The following is a 15,462-nucleotide window of genomic DNA, read 5'->3' as shown; positions in this document are numbered from 1 at the left end:
TGAAATATTAGTAAACGGAATTTAATAATTACATATTATTGATTACATATTAAGCAAACACTATTTACAGATAGTGCTTTCTGAAATACTCAGCATATACCAGTTTATCTTTAGAGCCCCTGAGATATTTTGAAGTGTTAGTTTCCTATTCTTTTGTGCTCATAGTCTGAGATGTGCGTGGCAATCATAAGAATGGTGTTAACTACAGTCACTCTGGCTAGTTATTTATGGATTGCAACTTTTTCTGAAAAAGTTCAAGTAAAATGTCCAACCCTGCATTCATAATTTTTAGTATTCTCCACAGCATTATTACTGGATAAATTCTTTACAGATGGAAATATAATAAAAATTCTAAAACCTTATCTCCGGAAATGGATGTTTTCTTTACTAAAGTCTCTAGAAGGCAAATAGGAAATCTCTGCAATATGAACTTCCATTTTTTAGTATTAGCTAGATAAAACGAAAACATCTTACTGAGATCTTGATGAGATTAGGCTCACACGCCATCATGAATTTATGAGAGATTACAATGCTAAGCAATGGAACAGTGTACATATTTAAGAAGCCACAGAGAGTTTCTTTTCACATAAATGAAGAGGTGGACATACATTTTTTTTCAACATGGTATACAGTTTAATCTTCCTTTTATCTCCCAGTATCTCAAGATTCCAAAACCCTGAAAGTAGATGAAGAAACAGAAAACACAATGAGAGTTACATGGAAACCAGCACCAGGGAAAGTCGTCAACTACCGTGTTGTCTATCGCCCTCATGGGAGAGGGAAGCAAATGGTTGCTAAGGTGCCCCCCACAGTCACTTCGACAGTGTTAAAGCGACTTCAGCCACAGACCACATATGACATCACAGTTCTTCCTATTTACAAGATGGGAGAAGGAAAGCTTAGGCAAGGATCAGGAACAACAGGTATGAAATAATAATTATATTTTGAGGGGGAGAGAAGGTAATGTTTTAAAAGATGACTTTGGTATGTCTACTTCATTTGTAAATGTTTAAAACTGATTCCGTAATAAGTTAAATTATAATTACTAGACAATGTCTAAATAACATGTTATTTTTACCAATCTAGTTCCTGGTAAAATGATTCTACATATTAATGTTCTTATGCAAATCTAATCTGAATTGTGAGAATTATTTACACTTCTACTTAGCTAGCACTCTGTTATCTGGACTTCTATGGAACATGCTATTTTGTGCTACCGGACTTAAACCCTTTTTATGGATATGCATTTTTGTGGGGCTAATAAAAAAGAAACCCCAAAGCCTAGTCTTACAGATAATATTTTAAAAATCTTTTTGTCTTTACAGCTTCTCGGTTTAAGTCTCCTAGAAACCTCAAAACATCTGACCCAACCATGTCAAGCTTCCGAGTGACTTGGGAGCCTGCCCCTGGGGAAGTGAAGGGTTATAAAGTCACATTCCACCCTACGGGGGATGACAGAAGACTGGGGGAGTTAGTGGTTGGACCCTATGACAACACAGTTGTTTTGGAGGAACTTAGGTAGGAATTAACTACGTTTGTATCAAAGGATGAAATTAATTTGTTTACAAGGTTGAATAGCTTTTGTAAATTAGTAGGCTTTACACAAATATCACTTATATGTCTGTTTGCCAGCAAAGTATTTAAAATCAGCTAAAGCTGTTTTCTTATGCTTGGTGCTGCTGGAGTTGAAGTTAGGATTCAGGGGTCAGCAACAGAATTTAGGCCTGAGCAGGATTTTTTTGTAATGTTTAATAATTTTTGTTTGTTTTTAAGGGATCAGAATTGGTGTTTTCAATAACACCCTGCTTTTAAGAAATTAATGTTCTTATTACACAATGTCACCGAAATTGTAGCCATGTGGAAGCATGGGGGTTCCTGTACCTTTTGGCAAGGTTTGAGGGACTCATGCTGAGATCTTGAGTGTGAATCCCCCTCCAGTGTGCCATACAGGAGAAAGAAGGCAGGACCTTGTGGGTGCCAGCTGGCAGGAAAGGGCAAGGCTGGGCTCATGAAAGGTCCAGCTCCAGGCTGTGCAGTGAAAAACAAGGAAGTTTCAGTTTGAACAGCACCCTACATTCATTACAGTAAAAAGAATGAACTACTGTGTGTAGTCTTTTGGGAAGTTTGTTTTTCAATCATTCATTCAAGACTATTGAAATCTATATAAATGCTTGTGATTTACTTTTACCAGAGTAGGGAGTATAAAATTTATTGAGCTTACTATGTGTCAGGCATTGTGTTAGGCATTGTCTTATGTTACCTTGCAAGGTACAGCACTTCAATTATTTTCTTAAAGCCCATTGCTTAGAAACAGTAAGATTAAAGAGTCTGACCCTTCCTGACATGCTGAAAGGCAGGGTAGAGACTCTGCATCTGCTAGAAAGGCAAGACAGAAACCAGTGCTGTGAATTCCTAGTGTTCTCTGGAATGATTGCTGTCTAGTTTCTCTTGACACCTCACAGGGTAAGCGTAAGTGAGAAAGAGGCGGAAATTATTTTTCTTCTCTTATAATGTTGTACACTATAAACTCTTCATAGTGTAAGCTTGTAAATCAAGAAAAATGTCTTTAACAAAGCAAAAAAAAAGTGCTACCACTTGAGCCTATGGTTCTCACAGGCTATATATATACTTTAACATTTTAGGGCTGGTACCACCTATAAAGTAAATGTTTTTGGAATGTTTGATGGAGGAGAAAGCTCACCACTTGTTGGACAAGAAATGACAACCCTTTCCGACACAACTGTTATGCCAATTTTATCTTCTGGTAAGAAATTGAGTTACATTCCTTGAGGAAAACAACTTAGGAAACTATTTCAAATGTGAACTGTTAGGGTATCATACAATGGAAAACAATGATACAAATTTTACACTAAAATTTATTTCAATAATTTACATACTTAGCAAAAAAATTCTTCAAACATCCAGTCAAGCATGCTTTTTGACAGTATTTTTTTATACTTCTTTTATCAGCATTGCATTATTTCATACTTAAATTATTACATAAATCTATTTTTAAGAGTAATATATAATTATTAATGTATTAATAATTATTAGTGATGTAATTAATGTAGTAATTTTAAATTATGTAATAACGCATAATTTAAAATTGTGCATTAAATTTATTAATGCATTTAAATATTAAATTTAAAATTATGCATTATTGCATAATTAAGCTCTATTATTTAAAGAGTTTTTACTAAATGTAGATATTGTACCGTTTTCTATTTTTAATGACTAAGATGCAGTTTTCTTTTGTTAAAGTAATTGCAGAAATGTTTTATTTGGGCTGGGTAAGCAGTGTTAGGTTACATAAATGGGTGGGCAACTATGACTTGGGAAGGAAAATGGTAACATAAGCCCCTTAGATTTTCTGTCCCTGCCACAATTACAGCCTTTATGAACATAAAGCTAGTTTTTAACATTCTTAGAGACGGAGGTGGTGGACAGAGTTTACTTCTGATAGTTTTCATTATTGCTAAAAAAGAGTAGATCTGGGCAGAGCAGGAGCAGGCTTGTAAGGGCTTATTTCCTTGGGATAGTATTTGGGAATCCTTAATCCTGATATAGTATATAATATATGAGTGACACATTTGTATTCTGTAGTGTGATGAGCATTATTTAATTTTTTCCAATGATTTCTTTTGTAATATAAAGACCAAATGCTAACCTTGTAATAAACTGGAAAATTTATAGCTGGTAATATAAGCTTTTGGAAAGGAGAACATTAAAAAAATGGATGTGGACAAAATCAAGTGTCAAATCTTGCTGTTTTGCATTAATGTTCTATTGTTTCTCTTATGATGATATTAACTGACTTATATTTTTATTTTGTAGCTTGTACACTGAGGATGTTGGGATTATTTTCTCTTTCCAAAGCTTTTCCTATGTATCAATGTTTGTGCTTATCTTTACAGCTCTCAATTTGTATATTTGTTTGCATACTTTTCTAAATTGTCTTCCTTCTTTCTTGATTCTTTAAATGTGCAAACTTCACCATCTATATTTACATGATTTTTATTCACAGTAGATCATAAATTTAAATGATTAATAGCTAGATAATAATATATCAGGGTTTAAAAAATATATCTTTACCTCAAAAAGGTATAATTTTAAAAGTTATGTGTCTAATCCTTCATATATATGTGGTAGTTACCTAACAGCTTAGCTATTTGAAAAGATAATTTTTGGCTCACAAAAACCTTTTTTTAGTTTACATATTTTATCAGTCCATCTCATTCTTGTCTGCTATGACCATTAAATATTGCAGAAGAATGCAATATCTAATGATTTGACTACATTACAATTTTATTAAAGTTATTAGTACTTCATAGTTAGACAGCTATACATTCTCATTTATTTATTTCAGCCTTTGAATTTGTGAGCCCATCAAATTTTCAACAATGGCTTAATTCAAGTCTCCAGGTTCTATGAAAGAGGGCAGGAAATCGAGTCAAAGATAAAGGAAAGATTGGCCACTGAAATAATCTTTGGAGGAACTGCTGACTCTTAAGACTGTTAATTGAGGTTAATAAATCAGATGGACATATTTTCAGAGTCTTATACTCCACATCACTGAGCTAGACCATAGTACTGAGACAGGCAACACTGAGGATCCAGGGAGTGGTAGAGGTGTGACAAGGAAGTACCCTTGCCAACAATTTGCTTCTTACTGTCTTGTCTCATGATTGCCATGTCAGGGATGGAGTGTCTCACCAGAGCTGAGGCAGACATTGTGTTGCTGGTGGATGGATCATGGAGCATCGGCCGGGCAAATTTTAGAACCGTGAGGAGTTTCATTTCTCGTATTGTGGAAGTCTTTGACATTGGCCCCAAAAGAGTACAAATTGGTAGGTTCTGACAACATTGGAGCCATTTAGACATTTTTATCTTTCTCTTTCACATGCACTAATGCCAGTGGTGTCATTTTAGCTCTTGCTCAGTATAGTGGGGATCCCAGAACAGAGTGGCAGTTAAATGCACACAGAGACAAGAAGAGCTTGTTGCAAGCTGTGGCAAACTTGCCGTACAAAGGAGGCAATACTCTCACAGGTGAGTAAGGACTGTCTGACAGTCTTTCAGCTCATGCTTCTGGTTAAGGTTTGTGGCTGAATGGTGATGTGACTGATTCTCTTTTAAAAATCCCACTAGGCATGGCTTTGAATTTCATTCGCCAACAGAACTTCAGGACCCAAGCTGGCATGAGACCTCGAGCTCGAAAAATTGGTGTGCTCATTACTGATGGAAAATCACAAGACGATGTTGAAGCACCTTCAAAGAAACTCAAGGATGAGGGAGTGGAGCTGTTTGCTATTGGTACGCACTGAAAAGGACAGTGATGCCCCTGGGGTTACAAATGTGCTGAGGATATTTTTCGTAGTTAGAAGTTTTATCTGAAGCATGAAAAAAAATACCCATTTTTTTCTATCACATAATTTATCAAAATAATGTTCCAGGAAGTTAATTCACTTTTTTCTTCTTTTTTTGGGGACAAAACTACATGGTTTCTTAAACGAAAATTAATAGATCAAGAAGAAAAATGTGGTATTAATAGGATTCATAAAAACTCCTACTTGGTTTTCCACAGAACCGTGTTTATTTTTGATATCCATTATTTTACATTCCAGAAAAAACACTGAAGAGAGTCTTTTTGGCGGGAAATTGGTGCTATATACATTTAGAAGAAGCCAATTTAAAAGAGCTTTCAGTTTGTATTATCCTTTGTTTCTGTTTTATTATTGAGAAAAATAATATGTATGTTTTAGTTAACTAATTATTAAACCTTCATAGTTGGCCAAAAGCAGCCATGAATTAAGAAAGCCGTAAATCATTTGCTTCATTCCATTAATTTTTTTCTGAGAAGTGCTTTTAATTTGTATATATCCGTTTTTGAAGGTATTAAAAATGCTGATGAAGTCGAATTAAAGATGATTGCAACTGATCCTGATGATACCCATGCATACAATGTGGCAGATTTTGAGTCACTCTCCAGGATAGTGGATGATCTCACCATTAATTTGTGTAACAGTGTCAAAGGTCCAGGTAAGTTTAACCCAGAGTTTCTCTCCCTCAGCACTGCTGGTATTTTGGGCCAAATAATTATTCTTTTGGGTGGGGGGGAGGGCACTATTTTGTGCACTATGAAATGTTTAGCAGTGTGAAAGGCCTCTGCCGGTTGGATGTCAGTAGCATCCCCTAAATTGTGGCAATTAAAAAGATCTTCGGTTGTTGCCAAATGTCTGCTGCAGAAAAAAACTGTCCCCAGTTGAGAATCACTGCATTAGTCACTGATTTTTTTTTCTGATTTGTTTCTCGTGATGGCACCTCAATGACTTCTAGCTTATTTGAGGATATATTTAGTTTATATCCTGCATACCTGCACCCTCCCCCACACAACATATATATAAATGGGAAGGGGTAGGAAGAGAGGGAAGGAGAGATGCTTTCTTTTCTGGTATATACCTATTGTCTTAAAGCATCTTCACTCCATTTAGTTACTACATTGCTATTGGATGGTTGTTCCCAGACTCTTGTTTTCCTCAGTTTTGGTACCTTTTTTAAATTTCCTAGTGTGAGCAGGAATGAAAGAGCAGTCTTTATATCTGATTTGCTTTGCCTCAACTGTAGATGATCAGATTTGAAACTTTACACTTATAATCCCTAAATATAAAGAGAAGCTACAATTTTACAGTTTAGACATTTAGAAATTATATAACCTCTTTTTACCAGTGAAGAAACTGAGATCTGGAGAAAAATTACTTGGTCTGGGTCAAATGTTTAAAGATGTTTTTAGGGGTATTAAAAAAGTAGATATAGCTAAGGAATTAGGATATTGAAATAAAATTATAGAACTGGATTTATACCAAAAAAGGATGGTGCATAATGATTACTCTCTGTGCAAATCATGGGACAAAACATGGTAATCACCAAATTTGAAGGTTTTTTGAAAATTAATGATAAAAATTATGGCTCTTATTATGTGAGAAAAATTTTATTTAAGTACATGTAGATTATGGTAAAATTGTCCTTCATTAATTTAATTTGGTTTTGGAAAAGTTGGAATAAGTTTAAGAAACAATGTGGTAGAAATGGTTCACTTGCTCTGGGTGCTAGGGGTATGTTTATTTGAATGTTCCCTCTTGGCTTTCTTTCTCCTAACTTTTGCAGATTTTCTTTTTTGAATTTTGAACAACAGATTGACCTTTTCCCTGGAGAAATAGACCAGCCTGGCAGCCAGAATTTGTAGGCTTCTGGCTCTTGATTAGCTGAGAGAGTTGTAGTTTTATTCCATTGGAGAGAACTTTGAGTGGGATGAAAACATCTTTTATCTGTTTTGCTTTTTTTAAAAAATGAACTATGTAATAGTTGCATTCATTCTAGTTTCCCAGACAGTAAAATTGCTTGATAATTTTGTAGGTTTGACTCTTACCCAAGTACAATAAAAGTTAAGATACTAAGAATGGAAAGGCTTTCCCCAGTTTTGGCTTGCACAAAAAGTAGAAAGAGTTTATACGAGAATGATTTGCCATGCTTATGGAGTTATTGGATTAATCCCTTTCTCTTTTAATTATTATTTGGGCCATTTTCCTGTTAGACATATTGAGCTTAATATTTCCATTTTCATCAGCATTTATTCCAGACACTGTTATGTATTAGTCATTTCACCTATATCCACCCACAGGGAGCACAATCACAGGCGGTAGGTTGTTCCCAGATTGAAAAACATGTGTTTCTTTGCACTCTCTCCAGTGATACATTGTCAGCTTCCTTTGTTATGCAACTAGATCCTGTTAGAGAATAGAATGAATGAAAAATCAATTCTGTCCTCACAGAGCATAACCTTTAGTTAAGGAGAGAAGACATGAGTATATAGAAACAAAATGATAATGAGGGCAGGGAAGTTGTGTGGTGCCAATAGTGATAGGGACAATGGAGAAGCTAAATTGTCAGGACCTAAATTCTTATTTACTGATTATATGTACAAGGGTAGAGAGAGGAGAAAGTATCAAAAGGTGATTCAGAGGTCTTAGTCTGTTCTCATGCTGCTAATAAAGACCTACCCAAGACTGGGTAATTTATAAAGGAAAGAGGTTTGATTGACTCACAGTTCCATGTGGCTGGGGAGGCCTCACAATCATGGAGGAAGAGCAAGGGAGGTCTTACATGGTGGCAGGCAAGAGAGAGAATGAGAGCCAAGTGAAAGAGTAAACCCTTATAAAAGCATTAGACCTCGTGAGACATTTACTACCACTAGAGTAGTATGGGGGAAACCACCCCCATGTTTCAATTATCTCCCTGTGGGTCCCTCCCACAACACTTGGGACTTATGGGAGCTACAATTCAAGATGAGATTCAGGTGGGGACACAGCAAAACCATATCGGGTCTTGAGTCTCAGTGACTTGTAAATTGGTAAAGTTTGTAAGGAAGAGGAGGATCAGGTTTTAAGGAAAGACAATGAGCTCATGTTTTAATCTTTTGAGGCTAGAAAACCTTTTAGTTACCTATTCATAACGGTCTTACAGGTGATGAGCCTCTAATACAGATTTATTGTAGCTACTTAGTATGTGAAAAGAAGTGTGTGAAAGCTTAGAATATGGAGCATAATATTGTTTCAATGTCATTTCAAATATTGTCACCTTTCTACAATAATGAGAAAAGTGTATACCCTTTATTTCCATGTGTAGGTGATTTGGAAGCACCTTCTAACTTAGTTATTTCTGAGCGAACCCATCGTTCTTTTAGAGTGAGCTGGACACCACCTTCTGACAGTGTGGATCGATATAAGGTGGAATACTATCCAGTTTCTGGAGGGAAACGTCAAGAAGTGAGTAGGAACACCTATAACTTACTTCTTCCTGATGTTGAGATTGGGTCCTCCTCATTAGGACTCTGAGAATAATGTTAGGTGAGGGGCAAGAGGGATGAAGAGGGGCCAGAAATGAGTCAAGAATAGTGCTTTCTATTCTTGACTTTGCTAGGCAGGCATTTCCGTCTGGCTTTAATTAAAGGGAAAGAGCTTTGCTTAAATTCTTACGGTTTCTAAGAATTGTAGAATATCACTATGTTTTTTTCATTAAAATCTAATTAGAAGATGCTTGATTTATTTATGAATTTGTAGTAGAATCAGAGAGTTAGCAAGGAACATTGAAGATGATCTATTTTTACCCATTCATTTTACAAATAAATAACAGCTGGGAGAAAAATTATATGAATTGTCCAAGATCTCATTGTAATCTGATAGTTTCCAAATACAAAAGACAATGGCCTAATTGAAATATAGATTCTAAGCTCACTGCAGTTAACTACTTTGTAAGTATAGTAGGAAAAAGGGAACTGATTATACATACGTTGTTGCTCTGTTTAATTTTTCCCCCTAGTTTTATGTGAGTCGAATGGAAACTAGCACAGTGCTGAAAGATCTGAAACCTGAAACTGAATATGTTGTCAATGTGTATTCTGTGGTAGAAGATGAATATAGTGAGCCTCTGAAGGGGACAGAAAAAACCTGTGAGTCAGATTAAAAAATTGTTTCTCATTGCTTTCTTTTCCAAGATAAAGCATGATGGCCCATTTTTGCCTACCTTCCAAATAATTTCTTTATTTAACATTCATTCTATAAATATTTACTGAGTGTCATCTTTGTGCAGGTGCCCAGAAAATACTCAGTGGTTTTCTACTCCTGCTGGCTGATTCTGCCATCATGGAGCTCCACTGTGGAATAGGGGGTCACTGCCATAATAATCTAGAGGGAAAACAACCTTTAATGGAGTTATTCACTTCTTAGAGTCTTTAGACTTTTGCTTTCAAGAAAATCTCCTAAAATGCAAATATACCTTTCAGGGGGATAATTTTACATTTTACTCTGTTGTTATATGTTGACATTTTATTGAGGAATAAAGCACATCAGGAGTAAGATATGAGGAAGGATACCATGTGGGGAGTGGGACTAAGATCAGGAAGAAGAGCGTACAGAGATACCGATTTCACTTTTACTAACGGCCAGCGCTCCCGGCTGCCAGTGAGATCTTCTCTTTTCTTTCTGGCATCTGGTCTTTGCTAGAGAAACTCTAAGTGCTTTGGCTTTGAGTAGCGCTTTTGGGGTAGATGTTCCTTGCTCCTATTCCTGGTAATGCTTCCAGAGACATATGAAATTATTCTTTCCTACTTCTTGCTTCTTGGTTGGGCTCTAGGGAGAAGAAGGAAAGCCACTTTTAAGAAGAAGGAGTGCGCATCACTCTCTAGAGCAAGAACTGACTTTATGTACTGCTCAAGTTTTAGATCCTTATCTCTTCTCTTATATCCCTTTATATTAGACTATAGGAGGTGAGAAATAATGTATTTTATAACTGGCAGGATTAATATGATAATTTCTTAAAACTTTGAACTCAATCTTTGAACAAAAAATAATTGGAAGCAATATGGGTGTTATAGGGAGATTGTAAACTTTTTCCTCTGCTTCATGGGTTTATCTTCAAGAAGCCTATAAATCCCTGATGTTCCAGTTATTAATGTATAGTGTTCTTATTTTAAATTTATTTTTTGAAGAAATATAAAAAATAGTGTTGATTACATATATATAAAGTTCTGTGATTGAAGAATAGAAATAGTCAACTTAGTGATGTTCCAGAAAAAGAGAGTAACGTATCAGGAAGTTGGTATCTATTGTAGAGACTCACTGGAATGCCATTTGACACCTGAACTTTAACATTTTCCTTCTACAAGATAGTGGTAACGTGCAGTCTTGAATATGAAGTGCAATGAGCAATGTAAATTGGATTTTTTGGGGCAATGGGAAGGATTATATTAACTCTTATTGATTTCTCACAGTAACCCACTGTCTAGTATATACAAATATCAATAATTGAGTACAAAACAATGGTTAAAAATGAGTGGAATGAAAGGAACTAGACTGATGGTCTGCTTTTCTGTTTTGGAAGTGCCAGTGCCTGTAGTCAGCCTGAATATTTATGATGTTGGCCCTACCACCATGCATGTGCAGTGGCAGCCTGTGGGAGGAGCTACTGGCTACATCTTGTCATACAAACCTGTTAAGGACACAGAGCCAACAAGACCCAAAGAGGTGAAAGATGTTTGTTTCTTTAACATTGGGTCTTCCCAAGACTTTATAGCTTTATAGTGCCTATTATACTGCAGTTACTTACAAACTCATTTATAACTTTACGTACAAAATGGAAAAATAGAAAAGTAGGTTTGTGGTCTGCAACACATTGTAGAAAACATTGGCATGGACTGCCCACGGTGACTGACGCCTGTGTAATCTCAGCACTTTGGGAGGCGGAGGTGGGCAGATCACCTGAAGTCAGGAGTTCGAGACTAGCCCGACCAATATGGTGAAACACCGTTTCTACTAAAAATACAAAAATTAGTCGGGTGTGGTGGCAAGTACCTGTAGTCCCAGCCACTCAGGAGGCTGAGACAGGAGAATTGCTTGAACCCGGGAGGTGGAAGTTGCGGTGAGTTGAGATTGAGCCACTGCACTCCAGCCTGGGTGACTGAGTGAGACTCTGTCTCAAAAACAAAACAAAACAAACCAAAAAAAAAAAAAAAAAGAAAACATCAGCATGGAAAAGGAGATGTAATCTTATAAATGAAAAATACAAGCTGTATTATAATCTAGTACAAATAAACTTCAGTTGACTATTCCAAAGGTAAATGGAAAAGTTTGATTTGAATATCTTATTTCTGCTCCACATATCCATGTGCAGGTGCGTTTGGGGCCAACAGTGAATGACATGCAGCTGACTGACCTTGTTCCCAACACGGAGTATGCAGTCACAGTCCAGGCTGTCCTGCACGACCTCACTAGTGAACCTGTCACTGTTCGGGAAGTCACCTGTAAGCTACTGCTTAGTTTTATTTCCCTTCTTATTGCTGTGAGCATAATGTTCATTAGAATTTATTTCATGTGATGCTAACAATAATTTGATAATTTATATACAAAGTCACAGTTATTACTTTTGACAATCAAATTTGAGAATAAATGTCTCAATTCTAGATTTATGGAGGCATCTCAAATTCATTCGAGGATGTGTATTTTTTTCACATTGAACATGCCTGAAATTGAAGTGTTTTACAATCAATGGTGTCTTACTATTATTGCTCTTGGCTAGGTGCCAATCAGAATGTACAGCATAAGACAATGGTGCATCTTATGAATGATGTTATCCTAGATCCATGAAATATGACATATAGCATTGATGAGAATGGGAATGTTGAGTGAGTGTAATTTTGGAGGAAGACATTGGGTTTAATATCAAGGTGCTCCAAGTTCTTGTTGATGTAGAAACTCTGTGGCACATATGATTAAGTCTGTTTCAGTTAAGTGAATTAATCAATTTACCCAATGCAAAGATATATTGATCCCCTATTATATGCCAGTCACTGGGCTAGATGTTGGGAATACCACTGTGAAATTATACAAAGCAGTATAGACCATATGGACTCCTTCCTGGTTTGCATTTCTCTTGTGTGTGTTGGTCAGCCTTTTGTGTACTTCTGACTTGTTTTACTAAGCATTTAGGTGCTTTTTTCTTGAAGCGTGACAATGATTGCATTTACCCACTTACTGCCTCTTGCCTTACCCAGCTGGTATTTTGCTTCATGCTTGGGGAGATTGACATGCTGGGATAGATGAGCTGGCTTAAATTTAATGAGTCTTGGCCCACACTTCTGAGAAAATGAAGAGTTTTGAAGGCACTTCAAGGAGGAAAAAGGGACTAAGGAAACAGAGCATGATGGGGCAGAGAAGAGAAAGATCCCCTACAGGATGGGTTAGTGTAAATTAATTGACAACAAACAAATATTTATTAATCCTCCTTTATATGTTAGATCTTGTCTGGGGCTGGTGGTTTTGTGAAAATGGGATAGTGGCAGATGGAAGGAATGGGGAGTCAGCCAGGGATAGAGACTCATGTTCTGAAAGTGCTGAGAGAGGAGACCCAAAGTCACAGTGAGATTAAAAACAAATATGGTCACAAACTTGGGTATGGTGCTGGACTGGAACAGTAGAGGAATGGAGGGCAGAGAGAGATACACAAGATAAAAATGTTGAAGAGATGGAGGCGCAGAAATGTGGAAGTGGAGCTAGAGAGTTAGGAAGACAGATGTAAAGAGTCAGAATGAGAGACAAGTTAAACTAGTCAAATGGGCAGCTGGAAAGAGTGAAATACATCTCATATTACAGGAGAAAATCTCCTCATTCCGTATCCTCCTTCCCCCTTTTATAATGGAAAGTTATGTTAGATTTGGTAAACATTTACCATTTGGATTTTCTTCTAACAATTTAGGTGTCTGGGTTTTCTTATAAGCTTATTGGATGCTTAATGTTGGGCTCATCTTCATTCTTCACTCTGTAACTATTTTTTTCTGTCACGTTCTTGAGGGTGCATAACTCTATTGATTTTGTTTTCTGTCTTGAGTTAAATATCTGATAAAGAAACATGAGCTGTACATTTATGATGAATTATGATTTATTATGGGGTTGAGCAGCAAGAGATTATTTAAATAATGTGGAAGAAGAGTAATATATAATTGAGAAGTTAGCCTTGTGATAACAAAAAATTAAATATATTCTATTTTTGAAAAACCTTCTTAAGAAGAATTCAGTCTATCTGGTAGAATCATGGTACTTTTATCATCATAATCATTTTTTTCAGTTATTTTGCCAAACACCTTTAAATTTTCTCCAAACAACTTCTTGAAAGCTTGCATGGATGCTTTGGAGCTTTGTGGTTGAGAAGCACATCTGGATTTAATATCTCGTGCTTCTCTAGTGCCTTTACCCAGACCTCAGGATCTGAAACTCAGAGATGTGACTCACAGCACTATGAATGTCTTTTGGGAACCTGTGCCTGGAAAAGTGCGTAAATATATTGTTCGATACAAAACACCAGAAGAGGATGTCAAAGAGGTAGGTTGAAGATGATAGTAGATATGAAAATATTTGTTTTCCTAGTAGGTTTAAAAAAAGAACTTTATCAAGTATGGATGATAGCATGTTTTGAATACTTGTCACTTTGTTAACACAGTGTTGAAAACTTGTGATATTAATAAAGCAGTTTTTGAAAATCAATGATATATTGGACTGTCTTGTCAAAACAGAAATGTTTTGCTGTGTGATATTAATCTCAAAAAGATCATCCCTTGGTAGATAAAAAGTTATCAAATCTAAATGGTATTTCCTTCCCATCCAGATTCCTTATATGGCTTTCTATTCTAAGAATTACTAGAAAATGTCATGTTTCTAAAAATAAAAGGTAGCAAGAGGTTGCAGCAATGAAGAGGAGCAGTTTGTCAGATAACAGGAAGATAGGACACTAGAGAAGGACACAGAGAAAGGAGAAGTATGTTGTTAGAGGGGTGTCCTTTTGGGAGTGTTCTTTTGGGAGTTCCGTGATGACCGGATTCAAAGTTAGAGCAAATTAGAAGGGCTTCATGAACCAGCAAAACTTGTGTGTGCTTGAGGGAGTATTAATGTCAGAATCTCAGAGGCATTTTTGGAACATAGGAGTCATTTCTCTAAGCACTCAGTGACTGGTTCTGCTGGTCATTTGTGGATTATACAAAAGCTACTTTATACATGTGCACACATTTATTTCATTCTGCATTTCCATTTAAAAGGGGTACAATGGCCAGTGGATCTCACAAGATTCTTGTGCATAGCAAATGAAGTAATGCTGTGCGTAAGAGACCATTGCTGAAAGAAATAATGCAGTGATATAAAGGGAAACAGGTGGAAAAATGGTTAGGTTTTTTGAATACATAGGCAGTAATTATTTTCTAGAGAGTCATGTGCCATATGATCTAGTACATACATTTTTTTTCCAGTTTGGAAATATTTAAACTGTGTCCAGTTTCTGGATTCTCATGTATATTGGAAAACACTGCTCTTTTCTGATCACAATTTTATATTCTTACGCTGACAGGTACAGTAAACAACAGAGAGATGTCAAAAGTAAACCCTTTGTAAAAGTAGTTCCACTGCTCTGTTACTGTTATAGGTAGAGGTGGACAGATCAGAGACCAGCACTTCCCTCAAAGACCTCTTCTCACAGACCTTGTACACAGTCAGCGTTTCTGCAGTACATGACGAGGGGGAGTCTCCTCCAGTGACTGCTCAAGAAACTACCCGTGAGTTGTGCTCCTGCTCCACTGATAATGGGAAACAACACTTTACATGCATGTGTAACACAATTTACTGGGTCATTTTGTTTCTTAATGCTACCTTTGCCAGTGTTTAATAATGCTTGGATTCATAGATTGTTTTTCACTTATTTTTTTGTAACAAGGTGTCCCATCTTCTATCTTTGCATCCATTCCTTTTATGATACTTTCCATCAGCCACTGTCATTAATTTATCTTCCAACTACAACTACTTGATGTGCACCTGTGTATGTGTGTGCATGTATGTGTAGTGGGGTGGGCAAGTTTTCTTGACGTATGTT

At 36.3% G+C, this 15,462-nt stretch overlaps 1 protein-coding gene across 10 annotated transcripts in view, besides 1 other annotated feature; it reads left to right on the top strand.

Annotated features, from left to right (window-relative positions):
• The window catches only part of COL12A1 (collagen type XII alpha 1 chain), a 121,728-nt gene that overhangs the window by 48,874 nt on the left and 57,392 nt on the right, over positions 1-15,462 (top strand). For 7 of the 10 annotated variants that reach the window (XM_011535435.2, NM_001424115.1, NM_001424114.1 and 4 more), the window contains 13 exons: positions 657-923; positions 1,326-1,518; positions 2,643-2,764; positions 4,698-4,847; positions 4,930-5,049; positions 5,149-5,313; positions 5,893-6,039; positions 8,683-8,822; positions 9,376-9,505; positions 10,936-11,078; positions 11,725-11,854; positions 13,792-13,928; positions 15,019-15,148. In XM_011535435.2, coding sequence (XP_011533737.1) covers positions 657-923; positions 1,326-1,518; positions 2,643-2,764; positions 4,698-4,847; positions 4,930-5,049; positions 5,149-5,313; positions 5,893-6,039; positions 8,683-8,822; positions 9,376-9,505; positions 10,936-11,078; positions 11,725-11,854; positions 13,792-13,928; positions 15,019-15,148 — 1,974 coding nt within the window. The remainder of the gene's footprint in view (positions 1-656; positions 924-1,325; positions 1,519-2,642; positions 2,765-4,697; positions 4,848-4,929; positions 5,050-5,148; positions 5,314-5,892; positions 6,040-8,682; positions 8,823-9,375; positions 9,506-10,935; positions 11,079-11,724; positions 11,855-13,791; positions 13,929-15,018; positions 15,149-15,462) is intronic. The other 3 variants (NM_001424116.1, NM_080645.3, XM_047418186.1) reach the window with 1 other exon arrangement.
• Positions 9,495-9,544: an enhancer, noted in NCBI's record as "active region_24756". NCBI's record gives its function as "activates an Ori minimal core promoter by ATAC-STARR-seq in GM12878 lymphoblastoid cells {active_cell/tissue: GM12878}" and the evidence as "EXISTENCE:reporter gene assay evidence [ECO:0000049][PMID:35858748]".

Source organism: Homo sapiens, chromosome 6 (assembly GCF_000001405.40).
Source record: "Homo sapiens chromosome 6, GRCh38.p14 Primary Assembly".
In the NCBI taxonomy this organism is placed as follows: domain Eukaryota; kingdom Metazoa; phylum Chordata; class Mammalia; order Primates; family Hominidae; genus Homo; species Homo sapiens.
The sequence above is the reverse complement of the archived record's forward strand: the minus strand, read 5'-3'. Positions and strand labels throughout refer to the sequence as shown.